Here is a 15,745-nt window from a genome sequence, read left to right on the forward strand (position 1 = left end):
CCTAAAACAACGCAGTTTCATTTTCTGTCACTTCTAGAGGTCAGAAATCTGAAATGGGTCTCACTGGAATACAGGGGCTGCCTTTCTGTGGTTCTGGCAGACAGTTGTTTCCAGCTTCTAGGGGCTGCTCACATTCCTTGACTCGTAGCCCCTTCCTCCATCTTCAAAGCCAACAATGTGGCATGTTCAGATCTCTCTCTGACTCTGCTTCCTGTCTCCATGGTCACGTCACCTTCCATGACTAACTCTCCTGCCTCCTCCTTTTCCTTATAAGGATCCCTGTGATTATATCACAGCCACCCAGATAATTCAGGGTAATCTCTCCATCTCGTGTCCTTACCCACATCTGCAGAGTCCCTATTGCCATGGAAGGCAGCATATTCACAGCTCTGAGGGCTAGGATGTGGACGTCCTTGAGGGGCCATTCTGCAGGGTCTCTCGCTCCTCCATTCTCTTTTCACATTTCACCCCGATCCCAGCCCACTGGCTGTCTCAGGGGCTGGAAGTTGAAGAGCTCATTCTCCCCTTGGAGGATTTCGACGTGTTGGTCCTCAGCTTGAAATGTCCCTTAGCTCGTCCGTTAGGCCCCCAGTAAACATTTCCTGAATAAATGATATCTCTCAGCATGCAGATTCATGTGAACAATGCTCTAATTTCTTAAGAAAATGGGGATTCTGTGAATTAATAGGATGTTTTACAGAAATGGTATGGAGAATGGGACTGAAGAGACAATGCTAGTTTAGAAGATAACTTTAGTCCTTCCAGTGCCACTAACAGTAAATCCATGTTGCTGAAAATGTTACCCAGAAGTGTTTATCATGTATAAGTTATGTGGTTTCAGTGTGTGATTTGCACTTGCTTTTGGTAGATTGCAGGACAAACAACGAGTAAATGTATCGAGTGGATGGGGGGAGTAGGCTACACCAAAGATTACCCTGTGGAGAAATACTTCCGAGATGCAAAGATTGGTAAATAGATTTTTTTTTTTTACATTTTATTTTGTTTTATTTGCCTCTGTAGGTATTTTGGCTGTTTTATTTGTCGTTTTTTTCCTAGGTAAAAGCAATTTTAATTTCTTCAGTATATGTTTGGTGGCTCTATTTATGTGGCTGGATTTTTTTCTTACCTCGTCCTTCAAAAAAAATTGTTCTATATTTTTAAAAAATATCAAATTGCCTTTTTAAATGCCTCAACAGGCTTTTTAGTAAAACTGCCACAAATAACAGTCTGAGCTTATGCATCAATTGTTGAAGAATCAAAATCTTCAACTTTTGTTTACACCTTTAGTCAGTTTAATACTGATCCTGGACATCGAGAAACCAAATGGAAAATTGTCATCTCTTAGTCAAAATTACTGTGAAATAGTACCATATTCAGGGGACATGAAGTGATGTGACTAGTAACTGTTTTATAGCAAGCGCAGAGGTGATGTTTATAGAGCTATTTCTTGTCTTAACCATGCGCCAACTCCTCATTGTTCCTTCTGCTTCCTTTTGCTTAAGGTACGATATATGAAGGAGCTTCCAACATCCAGTTGAACACCATTGCAAAGCATATCGATGCAGAATACTGACGTCTATAGGAGTGGGACCCCTCCCTGGTGTCACTGCTGTAAAATTTTAAACGGTTGTGTCTTGTTGGGAGTAAGTGCCTTGCGTGGGAATAAACTTCCACAGCATTCGAATATTTTAATGAAGCCCTTAGTCAGGGTCCTGGTGTTGGCCTTTTTGGTTTTCTCTTTTCAGGCTGTTTAACTTAGGCACAGGAGATCCACTTTTAAACTTGGGAAATAAGCACCTGTATTTTTTTCCAAAACTGTTTTTAAAGCTGTATACGCATACATATATATATTTTTACTCTGTCTTACTCTGTCACCCAGGCTAGAGTGCAGTGGCGCGATCTCAGCTCACTGCAGCCTTGACCTCCTGGGTTCCAGTGATTCTCATGCCTCATCCTCCCAAGTAGCTGGAACTACAGGTGTGCACCACCATGCCTGGTTCATTTTTGTGTTTTTAGTAGAGATGGGGTTTTACCATATTGCCCAGGCTGGTCTTCTGGCTTCTGGATATCGCCCACCTTGGCCTCCCAAAGTGCTGGGATTACAGGGATGAGCCACCGTGCCTGGCTGGGTATTTATATTATCATTCTAGTTTCAGAGTATACAGAAGTTTCATCCCATCATTTGGAAAAATAAAGGCATCTGAAGTACAATATTACTTATAGAAATAGTTTATATTCCTATTAAATCTTAATCTTGTGGCATCAGGGAAATATTTGTTACATAGTAGGCAATTTTTATCCAGTACTTTATAGATTCAACTCTAAGTTGCAAGCGAAGTCAAAACTGATGAAAATTTATTTAGAAAAATCTAAAAATTCTGGTTTTAAATATGAGAATCAGTGGAAAATAAGGGTATAATTTTGTAGGTCATATGATTGAAGAAAATATTATTTTAACAATGTAAAGCAATATGATTTGTTACTATAATTAACCTGTATAAAAGATACATTTTATGGTGGTTTCAGTAGGTCATTTTAAAAACCAATGTGCATTAGTTTTCAAGTATAAGGTTTAAGTAATTTGGTTTAATAATCAGAAAATATTCAATACAGTGTTGGATATTCTGTCATGCACTATTTTTCAGTTGACAATTTCTGTATTTTAATTGAATACTGTTTCTTCAGTCATGGTTATTGCACTTTATCCTGAATAATAATTCAGAAATTGGGTTTTGGTTCAGTGATTCTCAAGAAAAAGATCTCTTGCCCATTAAGAAGTGTATCAAAATCTCATAAGGAATGAGGGAGAGAAGGGGGCTGTAGAGTTTGAAAAAGCATATTCAATATTAAAATAGTTTTATATTTGGGAAGGCAAAAATGAATCTATTGTTTTGCAATATAGGTTATAAACAGGCAAAATGCAATAAAATATATATCTGGTTGTATTAGTCTGTTTTCACGCTGCTGATAAAGACATACCTGAGACCAGGAAGAAAAAGAGGTTTAATTGGACTTACAGTTCCACATGACTGGGGAGGCCTCAGAATCATGGTGGGAGGCAAAAAGCACTTCTTACATGGCGGCAGCAAGAGAAAATGAGAAAGAAGCAAAAGTGGAAACCCCTAATAAACCTATCAGATCTTGTGAGACTTACTATCACGAGAATAGCACAGGAAAGACTGGCCCCCATGATTCAATTACCTCCCCCGGGTCCCTCCCACAACACATGGGAATTCTGAGAGATACCATTTAAGTTGAGATTTCAGTGGGGACACAGCCAAACCATATCATTCTACCCCTGGCACCTCCAAATCTCATGTCCTCACATTTCAAAACCAATCATGCCTTCCCAACAGTCCCCCAAAGTCTTAACTCATTTCAGCATTAACCCAAAAGTCCGCAGTCCAAAGTTTCATCTGAGACAAGGCAAGTCCCTTCCACTTATGAACCTGTAAAATCAAAAGTAAACTAGTTACTTCCTAGATACAATGGGGGTACAGGTATTGGGTAAATACAGCCATTCCAAATGGGAGAAATTGGCCAACACAAAAGGGTAACAGGGCCCATGCAAGTCCAAAATTCAGCAGGGCAGTCAAATTTTAAACCTCCAAAATGATCACCTTTGACTCCACGTCTCACAATCATCTCTCTCAAGTTCGAAGTTCCACAAATCTCTAAGGCAAGGGAAAGATGCTGCCAGTCTCTTTGCTAAAACACAGCAAGAGTCACCTTTACTCCAGTTCCCAAAAAGTTTTTCATCTCCATCTGAGACCACCTCAGCCTGAATTTTATTGTCAATATTGCTATCAGCATTTTGGGCAAAGCCATTCAGCAAGTATCTAGGAAGTTCCAAACTTTCCCACATTTTCCTGTCTTCTTCTGAGCCCTTCAAACTGTTCCAACCTCTGCCTGTTACCCAGTTCCAAACTTGCTTTCATATTTTTGGCTATCTTTTCAGCAATGCCCCACTCTACTGTTAGCAGTTTACTGTATTAGTCTGTTTTCACACTGCTGATAAAGACATTCCTCAAGATTGTGAAGAAAAAGAGGTTTAATTGGACTTACAGTTCCACATGGCCGGGGAGGCCTCAGAATCATGGCGGGAGGTGAAAAGCACTTCGTACATGGTGGTGGCAAGAGAAAATGAAGAAGAAGCAAAAGTGGAAACCCCTGATAAACCCATCAGATCTCATGAGACTTACTATCATGAGAATAGCACAGGAAAGACTGGCCCCCCTGATTCGATGACCTCCCCCTGGGTCCCTCCCACAACATGTGGGAATTCCAGAAGATAAATTCAAGTTGCAATTTCAGTGGGGACATAGCCAAACCATATCACTGGTGATGCCACTTCTTCAGTATTAGGGATTCTCAGTCAGAAGAGACCCCCTGTGTGGCCTGAGTCCCCTCAGGAGGAAGGTGGACAACAGAGAAATGAGAGTTTTGATATTTTCTGAAAGAGGAACATGTGTTAGAGATGAAGAATCTTCCAAGGCTCATGCAGTTGCTTAGAATAATCATTACTGTTATATGAGAAACATTTTAGTAATTTAATAAAAGGATAATGTTTATTTAAAAAACCTGACTTTTCCAGAGTAATTTTGTTTTGCACATTCATGTTTATTGAAGTGGACTAATTTCTATAATGCAAATCAGAGTTAAATATTAAAAATTGTGTAAATACAATTGACATAGGAATTACATTAAAATATTAGGAAGAAACAAGGACAAATTTAGACCTTGAATCCGAAGAGATAAAGCTTACTTGACTTTCAAATGGAGAGATGATGAAAACCCACTCATTCACTCTTTCAGAACAAAAAGACAGTCATCTGATAAGAGTATGACATGGATGAAATGCCCTACAGGGGCCTTGGACATCTTTAATTTCTGCGATTATGTGAAAGAGGTGGACTTTACAGATAATGGAGCAGAAGCCAACATTAGTAAAAGGAATCCCAACTTCTTCCCATAGAATTAGAAACATGTGAAAGTACAATAAACTTCTTGTTCAAATTACCAGCATCAGAGAGCTTCCCATTTGCATCTAGACCTTGAATTTATATTTATTGATCAAGTTCTAATTTGTATGTATATTTTGTGCATATTCACCAATAACAGTTAAAATTAATTATGTGTTATAGTTAATATATGCACCTACCTTCTTCCGTTAGTGCATCAGTAAATGTGTTATTTTGTCATTTTTCCAAAGAGAGTGTTGTAGGTTTTCCCTGTAGTTCTTCCTTTATAGCTTTTCTTCTGATAACCATGACTTCAGGAGCTTTAAAACTATCTATCTTGCATTTGTGTCTGGCGGAGAACTAGCCATCAGCCTCCTGAAGCCTGCCATCATTGTTAATTTGAGGACTGGGCTGTCTTGGGGCTCAGAAGATAAAGAACTATTTGAGCAGATGTGTGTGGGTGGCACTGGATTCCACCCAACTGCCAAGTTAGTATTGTTAGAGATTTCATTTTACAACACAAAAATAAGCCTGTGTCAAAGATTTTAAAATCATGGAAAGTTAAAATCTAGAAAGACCTTAGAGAACCAGCCAACCAACTCTCTCATTTTAAAAGTGAAGGATTCATAGCACAGATTACTTGCCTAAGATCATCCAGGAACGAAGACAAGAATCCAAATGTACTTGGGGACAAGAATTAGTCCCCAAATTCAGTGTTCTTCCTAGTATTAAACATTGCCCCTTTCGACAAATTTTGGATTTCATTCTTGTTATATTTCAGTACTCTTGCTGATTTATTTTAGGTTTAACTGGTAAAGAATGAACATTTCAGAAGTGTTAGGATTAGTCAGTGTCATCGCTTATGTATATGAATCACTTGCCAAAGACACTGGCTCTCCTCAGCTGTAACCAGCATGTCAAATGTGAAGATTATTGTGTGGGATCCTTTGGTTTCATTGTTATGATGTATTTTATAAATGTACTAGTTATATCCTTGTTTATGTATTTTTGCTGATCTTTCATAAAGCAGAATGGTATGTATCGGATTGTTTTAATGTTATATATTGGATTGTATTCGATGTTACAAAACCAATATTCTATGGAGAATGAAAAAAATAAAGGACTAAATTAACTGGAGATTTTTGGTACTCTTATAAAGCAAAATTGTTTGTTATACATACAGATGAAATAAGAAAATAATGTAATCTTTCTGTAAGATATATACATCTTTGTTTACCAAACCAATAGCTTGCCTCTCACATAAGCCAATTTTGTTTGTTTTCAGAGAAGAGGTCTTATAATGTAGACTGAGTTTAAATTCATGATACTAAAGAAAATGTTGCCAGAGGACCCTTTTTTTTAAATGGCAAAATAAGCAGCTCTTCAGTAGAGAGTTCACCTCTTTTGAGCGTATCCTTGCTGTACAGATATTATCTGGCTGATATGTATGCCTGTGCTTTATAGTGTTACTTTTAGAAAATGTATATTATTGCACTTTTTACTCAGTGGTACACTGTAGCCTAAGGCTATAGGAAATTTCAACTTATCTTCTCCCCATTATCCTCTACATCATTTTAGAAATCTAGGTATTAGTCCCTTTTTTTTTTCCTTTGTCATTCAGCAACATGTAGTGAGTGGTCGCTATGTCCAAAGTGCTGTGGACGCTGAGCCACCATGCAAACATGAATAAGAACAGCTCCTTGTTTAAATGTGCGCCCATTCAGGTGTCTTTTCTATTCATCACAGAAAGATTGAGTAGAAAGCTACCAAGGTCACCCCTATAAAGAAATATTTCTTTACATCCATTAGAATGATAACAGTAAGCGCTGACATCTCTTGAGCTCCTACCATGTGCTAGCCATGATTCTAGACTCTTGACACATATTAACTCACAACAGCCCTATGAGGGAGGTGCTCTTTGTTATCTCATTTCATAGGCAAGGACACTGAGGCATAGAGGTGTTAGATAAGATGCTTATTCATAGATGGCAGAAATGGAACTCAAACTCCAGCAGTCTTGCTGATGAAGGCCCTCCTAGATTTATTCTTTTGGGTCTAAGTCTTGTTTATCTTCAGGAGCCTTCCAGTAAAATACCACCACCAACTAGTCCTTTATTCATTAATAATTCTTCATGAATGAGTTTCAGATACTTTGAGGCAGAGAAACTAGCTGAGAATGGGACCTTCGAGACGAACGGGTGTGGTGGAAACGTGTGTTTGGAGAGAAGACCTGGCAGAGTAGGTAAAGCAATGGGAAGATGCAGTTAGAAGGATGAGAAAAGCACTGAAAAGAAAACTAAGGAAATACCAAATAATCTCACTCTAGAGTTTTGCCTGGGATTTGCTATGTGCCATGTTTGATTCTTGATCTTAAAAAGATAAAAATAAGTAATTTCTTGAGCCCAGGAAATTTGAGACCAGCCTGGGCAATGTGGCAAGACCCCTTTTCTACACAAAAACACAAAAATTAGCCAGGCATGGTAGCACATACCTGTAGCCGCTGCTACTCGGAGGCTGAGGTGAGAGGATCGCCTGAGTCTGGGAAGTCGAGGTTACATTTAGGTGTAATTGCATTCCAGCCTGGGAGACAGAGTGAGATCCTGTCTCAAGAAAAAAAGAAAAAGAAAGGAAAAAAAAAAAAGTAAAGACTCAAAGTTACCCTAGGGTGGGGAGAATGACAAAAAATCATGATAGAAATCTGAGTGGTGGCTACGCAATTATTTATACAGATAGCTCACAATATAAGGAAAAAACCTTATTTTTTTTAAAAGAAATCAAGGTAAGTAGAAAATAAGACGGGAAGATAGGCAAACATAGTATTATTTGTAGTTGCAAATGGGTTAAACTCAGATGTTCAGATGGTGCAAACGAAAAATTTAAATCCCAGCTACATAAAGTTAGAAACACCTAAAACAAAACAGCACAATAAAGTTGAAATAAAGAGATGGAAAAAGGCCATACAAATGCTACAAAAAGGAAAGCATGAATAGCAATGTTGATATCTAACAAAACGGAATTAAAGGCAAAAATAATTTTAAAGGATATGTCATAAAAAGGAAGAGTTCACCAAAAAAGTCCAGCAGTCACAAACTTTATGTCCCTAACAACATAACTGGGAACTACATAGAGCAAAGCGAATAGAAATACAATGAAAAAAATTGACAAAGCCATAATCATAGTTGCTGACTTAGAAATCACCAAGTCAAGTGGAAGGTAAGAACAGATGTAGAGGATTTGGGTGGCGTAATTAACAGGTTTGATAGAACTTTTTTGTTTCTTTTCAAATGCAAATGAATGATCATTAGAATTTTGTCTCAAAATTTCTACAAATTCCAAAAAGATAAATTTTACAGGCGGCACTCACTGTACACAATGATAAGTAAATATATAAACAAAAAAGATAGGATATAAAAAAGCTAACCACGCCGGGCATGGTGGCTCATGCCTGTAATCCCAGCACTTTGGGAGGCTGAGGTGGGCGGATCGCCTGAGGTCAGGAGTTCGAGACCAGTCTGACCAACATGGTGAAACCCCGTCCCTACTAAAAATACAAAAATTAGCTGGGCGTGGTGGCGTGCCCCTGTAATCCCGCTAGCTACTCGGGAGGCTAAGGCAGGAGAACCTGGAGGCGGAGGTTGCAGTGAGCCAAGATTGCACCACTGCATTCCAGCCTGGGCGACCGAACGAGACTCCATCTCAAAAACAAACAAAAAACTAACCCTAGACTTTAAATAACCTGGATTAATTAATAAATAAAAATATAAAATACAAATTGTTGGCCGAGCATGGTGGCTTACGCCTGTAATCCAAGCACTTTGGGAGGCCAATGCGGGTGGATCTTTTGAGATCATGAGTTCGAGACCAGCCTGGGTGGCGAAACCCTGCCTCTACTAAGTAAAATACAAAAATTAGCCAGGCGTGGTGGCTCGTGCCTGTAATCCAAGCTACTCAGGAGGCTGACGCAGGAGGATTGCTTGACCCTGGGAGGCAAAGGTTGCAGTGAGTTGAGATCACAGCACTGCACTCCAGCCTGAGTGAAAGAGCAAGACTCCATCTCAAAAACAAACAAACAAACAAACAAAAAACAAATATTGACAATGATGTGACAAGCCCAGGTCTCTTGAATCTTCAGTGCTTCTGGGAGGGGGTGCAAGAAGGCATGTCAGGGACATCCAGGGCAGCATGGTTTGTAGTAGTGAAAAGTTAGAAATGGCTGAGTAGGAGAATAAATAGGTAAATCATCGAAAACGCACACAAAAGCCGTTTAAAAAAAATAAGGAAGATCCGTGTATGGAGATGAAATCATCAAGTCATATTGTTTAAGGAGATAATAAGTCACGCAGTATTTGTGCAGAACAATACAAAGCTACATATATTTCTGTAAATACAAAGGTGTATAAATTCTTAGAAAAAAAACTTGGAAATTAGCCAGGCACAGTGGTGCACACCTGTAGTCCTAGCTACTCCAGAGGCTAAGGCGGGAGGATCACTTGAGCCAAGGAGTTCAAGGCTGCAGTGAGCTATGATCATGCCACTACACTCTAGCCTGAGCAAGAGAGTGAGACCTCATCTCTTAAAATATAATAAAATAAAATACAGAAAAAAGTGGAAAGTGTACTGCCACACCAATAACTGCATTTAACTCTGGGGGCCTGTGCTGGCACTGGAGGTCATTAGCATCATCTATACTATTTGAATTTTTATATTAGGAATATATTCTTGTATTACTTGTGTAATAGGAAATATAAAATTAAAACAACCTACTAGGCTACTGATATCTTTTACTTTTGTGCATCATTCTCCCTTTAACTGATTTTTCTACTTTTCTCAAATAGCCACAGTGAAATCGGCAGCTCTATTCAGCCTCACGGGAGAGTAGACTCTGACATAGAGAGCACAGAAAAGAGATCTGAAACCTATGAAGGTTTGACCTCCCTAGGTAAATAGCACTGTTCAGGTTTAAATGCTTGTCCTAAGCAAAGCAATGCATGGCTTGCTTTGCCAAGCAGAACTTCACAGAGAGGGCTTTTTGCTTTCAGGTATAAATTGGGCCATTTGCACTGGCTTGGGATTGGGATCTTGTCTTTAGTTGTGATTTGATTTTCTATGATTTGACCCAGAGTATTCAAATGTAATATTTCCTTGAACATGAAGCATTTGCATTAAGGAAAAAGGAAAAATTCAAAACTTCTACTCAAGTCAAAGGACACAGGTCCTTTGTTTAAATTGGATGGACAAAGTATGGCCCATGGGCCAAATCCAAGCCACTGCCTATTTTCGTTATGGCCTACAAGCTAAGAATGTGTTTTTATGTTTTAAATGTTATATAGTTATGTACAGTATCCTCAATTTTGCCACTTTCCCACAAAGCCTAAAATGTTTACTCTCTAGCACCTTTAGGAAAAAGTTTTCCAACCCCTGATTAAATGATTGCCTCTAAATCAAATTTTGACTGAAAAGGTTGGTCAGTCTGTCTTGATGTCATACCGAAAGAAGAGAAAGAGAGAAGACTTCCCCTAGGAACTTGAGCCATTATTCTCTCTTGATTTTCTTTGTAGACTTTCTAGCCCTATGGGCTCCCTGCTACAACCTACAAACATGATTGTCTTCCCTTACCCGCAGTTTCAGTTACCTGCATCAACTGTGATCTGAAAATATTAAACAAAACTCCAGAAACAAACAACATACAAGTTTTAAATTGCACGTCGTTCTGAGTAGCATGATGAAATCTTGCACAATTCTGCTCCGTCCCAATAAGAACGTGAATCATCCCTTTGTCCAGCGTATCCATGTTGTCTGCTCTACCCCCTTCTTGGTCATCAACACTGTCTGCTCTTGACATCCCGCCATCTTCATTGTCATGCTTGGTGATCTAGGATCACACAAAGCAGAGGCTCCATCTTCTGAGACGTTGTCAGAAGGTCGATAGTGGCTGAATCACTAGTAGGCACATCACAGTGCCTACGCCATTCACACAACTTCATCCTATCCCATACACATTTTACCATCTCACACCATCACAAGAAGGGTGAGTATGACAATGAGACAATGAGAAAGAGAGAGACCACGTTCATATAACTTTTCTCTTTCTCTTTAGAACCAAAACAATGTTCTCAAAAGCCATCTTTTTACCTTTAATTGGTGGCCTATTATATTTGTCCCAATTTATATAGTTTCAGACACCCCTCATCTTCCTACAGGCTCTGCTCCTTTGACAAAGCACCTCCTCTTTTTCACTGACTCTTCGTTGGCTTCTTTGGCCTTAAATGGAAATTTTTTTATCAAGACTCTGCTATTGTGCCTCTTCATTCTCTATACAATTGGTTCTAAACCTCACTGTGCTTTTAGAATAACTCCAAGAGACCTCAAAGTGCACACTGTGGAATACTATTCCCAGAGTGTTCCAGTCATTGGCTATAGTGTTTATTTTTAGATCTATCTAGCAGGCTTTGGAAATTTATATTTATTTATTTATTTACTTTTGAGATGGAGTCTCACTCTGTCGCCCAGGCTGGAGTGCAGTGGTGCGATCTCGACTCACTGCAACCCCCACCTCCCAGGTTCAAGCAATTCTCCTGCCTCAGCCTCCTGAGTAGCTGGGATTACAGGTGCCCACCACCACGCCTGGCTAATTTTTGTATTTTTAGTAGAGATGGAGTTTCACCATGTTGGTCAGGCTGGTCTCGAACTCCTGACCTCATGATCCATCCGCCTCAGCCTCCCAAAGTGCTGGGATTACAGGCGTGAGCCACCGCACCTGGCTGGCTTTGGAAATTTATGTCTAAAATGCAGGTGAAGGATGAGAGTAGGAGACAGAGATCAGGAAGTCTTACGTAAGTCTGGTAGTATAAAGGTCAGATGAAGTACTCAGGAAGGACTGGTCATCTCCTGGGCTTTCTGCCCCCAGATCACTTGAGATGTCTGTAGAAAGGCACATTTCCTGACCTATGAGTCTTATCTTTGGGGCTGGGGCCTAGGAATCTGCATGTTTAGTAACCTGCCAAGGGATTTTCATCGCACACTAAGACTTGAGTAGTTGCTCAAAATGATTCCATCCCCAAAGTCCACGTTCCTTTCCAACTTCTCCCCAGCACCCCAGTCCAGCAGGACCAACGAGGTAAACCCCAAGCTCCCTAGAGACCCACCTGCTTAGTGAAGAAGCAGAAGGGGAGCAGGCGAGCCCCTTCCCTCCATCCTCCTGAGGTCAGAGGTCCTTGCGGATCCCCATTCACTCTCCCAGTGTGAGGCAGAGAAGCCAGGCACCAACTGTTCTCCGAGTTCGGTGGAACCAAAAGCAATTTAGGGCAATGTGTTCACAGTTCTCCACCCCAAAATAGGAGCCTCCATGGGGCTTGCTTTAATGAGATTTTACTTTATTAGTTCAAGAGTTAATGAAGAAACTGCTGATAAGATAAATCACCTTAGGTGCGGTGTTTTGAAATCTAACCATTTCTCTTAGAAATTGATTTTTTTTCCTTTTGGATATGCAAACTAATGATGAAGTCATAGTAGGGATGTAAGTTTTGGTGCCTTTGGAGGGTCAGGACGTCTGAAGGGAGAACATCTGGCTGAGTGGACAGCTCTTCGAGCCTTACCTTATTTTACATTCTGTCTATAACAGAAACCCATCGCTGTAAAATGTACATACAGTTCCTTTACGCATTAATACTCCATTGTACCAACCCTATTGATTTTTCCAAGTAGACAAAGGCTAAGGATATGTTTATTGATTGTTGCTCAGTGCATTTTAAGTGTATTTTGTAATAAAGAGCATTTTGAGACTGAAACAAACTTTCCCTTAACCAATGGGCAAGTTGAAATTTTAATTAAATGTTACTAAATATTTTTTGTAAAAAATAAGACTATTCACAATTCTACATTCAATGTCCATCAGCTAATGTAGAGAATTACAATCACGTGCCATGCATGTTACAACTAGACCTATGGAGTTAATATAATGTAGGAGTAATGGGAATTACTAATATTGCAAAATGTTGCTCAGGCACCATGTGAAACTGTTGGAAAGACAAGCCAACTCATGGAACTTCTGGAACTGACCATTGGAACACAAAAAGACAGAAGGAGGGAAGAGAAGCCAAACCCTGAAGAGCTTTGGTGGAATTACCTAATTTGGGGTAAAATAGAAAGAACCTTCTCTTTCCCCAGCCCCTTTCTGGAGCAGCCTCCAAAAAGGCTGAGAGTAGGTGCTGAGAAAACATATCTGTCAGACGGATGGCCAGATAGGAAGCCCTGTTTGGTTAGTGCTTTTTCTTTAAAGAGTAGCTGCATAATAATGATTTCTCTTTTCGTTTACTCATTGTCTTTATTCGAGTGGGGGCAGCTAAGATTTGCTTGGGGACATTAAAACATCATTTGGAAAATCAACCTTTGGTATTTGCCAGCTCATATTAGTGGATTTGCAGTTTGATAAACCACTTGGATAGAGGGGGTGCCATCCTTGTCTCAGGTACCTCACGTGGCTTGAAACGGTGTCCACACTGGAAGAAGACATGTCCTCCATCAAGGGCATCCATGAAAATTAATGAGTGGTCCAAAACAATTCGTAAGGAGGGTGAGTCGGTTTAACTCCAAATGTGGTTTCAGAGTGGAGTGTGGCACCTGGGTCCCAGTCACCAGTGGGCTGCCACCACTGGTTCCACCTCCAAAGTAATTTTTAAATCTGTCCAGTCTTTATTCTCCACTAACACCATAGTCTGATCTAAGATATGACTTCTCACTCAGAACAGCACAATAAGCCTCTCAACTGGCTTCCAGCTTCCACTATTCCCACTGTTCGATCCACTTTCTATCTAACAGCCTGAGACATTCTTTCAAATGTAAGCTGGATTATACTCCTCTTCCATCATTTCTCTAGAAATGTGCTGTTCAATACAATGGCCACCAGCCAGCCATGTGTGTCTATTTAAGTTATTTTTTGGTCTTTTGCTATTTTATTCGGAGGATTATTGCATATATATTCATAATGAGAGTCATCTATTCTTCTTCTTTATGCTTTTAATCAGATGTTGGTTTTGTATTGTATTTCTTTATAAAACAATTTGAGAAATTATCTATATTTTTATGATTTCAAATACCTATCTAAATTTAAATGAGTTAAAATTTTTAAAAATGAACAATCCTTTCCTTGGTTATACTAGCCATGTTTCAAGTGCTCATTAGTCACATGTGGCCAGTGGCGACCATGTTGGGCAGCACAGACATCTAGCATTTTTGTTTTACCTGAAAGTTCTGTCCATCTGTACTGCTCTTGAAGATGCAGCAGTTTCTCCCTCAAAGTAGTAGGTGGTGCCCAGAGCTCCTGACCAAGCAAGCTGTATGGTCTCTAAGAACTTTGGGCTTTGAAGGAGTATGGCAAGCTTAATTTGGGGAGCTACTACTTTTTTTTCCCTTTTCTCTTCTCCCTATTCAAGCGGGCTCCAACGATTCTTGCCTCCATTGAGGTTGGTGGCAGCACCTCCTGACTTTTGTCTAAAAGTCTAAATCCATAGAGAAGGACAAGGTTTGAAAGGAAAGGAGGAAATTAAGTCCCATGTGAAGAATAAGGCCTGAGGAGAGAAGAATTTTCCCCAAATTAAAGAGAAATTTCCCTAGGTTGGGGAAAGAGAGAGAGAGATGATCAGGTCCCATAAGTAGCCTAGACTAGCACCCCAAGGAAGTGCATCAGAGGGCAAGAGGGAATGGCATGGGGGACACCAGGAAGCTGGGTCCTGGGCAGAGCCCTCCAGCCTCGCGAAAGATGTTGGACCTCAGGCACATCCCAAAGAAAGCAGAGAAGCTCGCCTGAAGAAAGCATCTGGGCCAGGAGAAGGGACCTCTCTCTCAAGGAGGTAAGGAGCATAGGAGGTGATGGAGGCTCAAGAGGCTCCTTTACACCATGGCCCTGGGCAAGGCCCCAGAACCCAGATAGAACTCCTGGGGGAAAGAGCCCTCACAGAGTTAGGTATTCCATGGAATTATTGGGTTGAGGGCTCAGAGTTGGTGCCACACTGATTGAGGGTGTAAAAGGATGTAGGGTGTGAATTTTACTCTTTCACAGAACTAGAGCTAGAGTTCAGAGCTGCTTATGGATCAGGCGGCCTTAGTCTTAGTATCCTTGGACAGTCCCCGCCTGTTATTCTTAAGATTTGCTTGCTACCCTCTTATTTTGTGTAGAAGGCATCTGAGCCCAGAGAGGCAAAGGCCCTTGCTCCCAAGTTCCCACAGCAGATGACTAAGAGCTTAGGCATTGACATCAGACTGCTGGAGTTTGGCTGTCTGCGCCACCACCTCTTAAGTGTACAACCTGCAGTGGGTGTCTCATGGCTGCCATGACAAAATACCTTATACTGGGCAACTTACAAGCAATAGAAATGTATTGCTCACAGTTCTGGAGGCTGGGAAGTCCAAGGTGCAGGGAGATAGGAATCTATCTGGTGGGGGCTCACTCCGCTTCATAGATGCTACTTTTTCACTGCTTCCTCCCATGGCAAAGGGGCCCACAAGCTCCCTCAGACTTCTTTTCTAAAGACACCAGTCCCATTGATGAGGGTGGATTCCTCACTGAGGCTCCACCTCTTACTACCACCACATTGGGAATTAGGTTTCAACATAGGGATTTGGGAGGAGGGGGACAAAAACATTCTGACCAAGATTGTGGTTATTTGACCTCTGTAAGGTTTTGTTTTCTTAAGGGTGAATGGGACATGATCATGACACTAATGCCCACTTTGAAAGGCTGCTGTAAGGTATAAGTTACACAGTGTGTATGAGCCTCAGCAGACTAC

At 40.4% G+C, this 15,745-nt stretch overlaps 1 protein-coding gene across 2 annotated transcripts in view; it reads left to right on the plus strand.

The window, feature by feature from the left end:
* Window positions 1–6,098, plus strand: part of ACADSB (acyl-CoA dehydrogenase short/branched chain) — a 49,285-nt gene extending 43,187 nt beyond the window's left edge. For both annotated transcript variants that reach the window (NM_001609.4, NM_001330174.3), the window contains 2 exons: window positions 869–968; window positions 1,503–6,098. In NM_001609.4, the coding sequence (NP_001600.1) occupies window positions 869–968; window positions 1,503–1,573 (171 nt within the window). In that variant the 3' untranslated portion in view covers window positions 1,574–6,098. The remainder of the gene's footprint in view (window positions 1–868; window positions 969–1,502) is intronic.

This window comes from Homo sapiens, chromosome 10 (assembly GCF_000001405.40).
Source record: "Homo sapiens chromosome 10, GRCh38.p14 Primary Assembly".
NCBI lineage: Eukaryota > Metazoa > Chordata > Mammalia > Primates > Hominidae > Homo > Homo sapiens.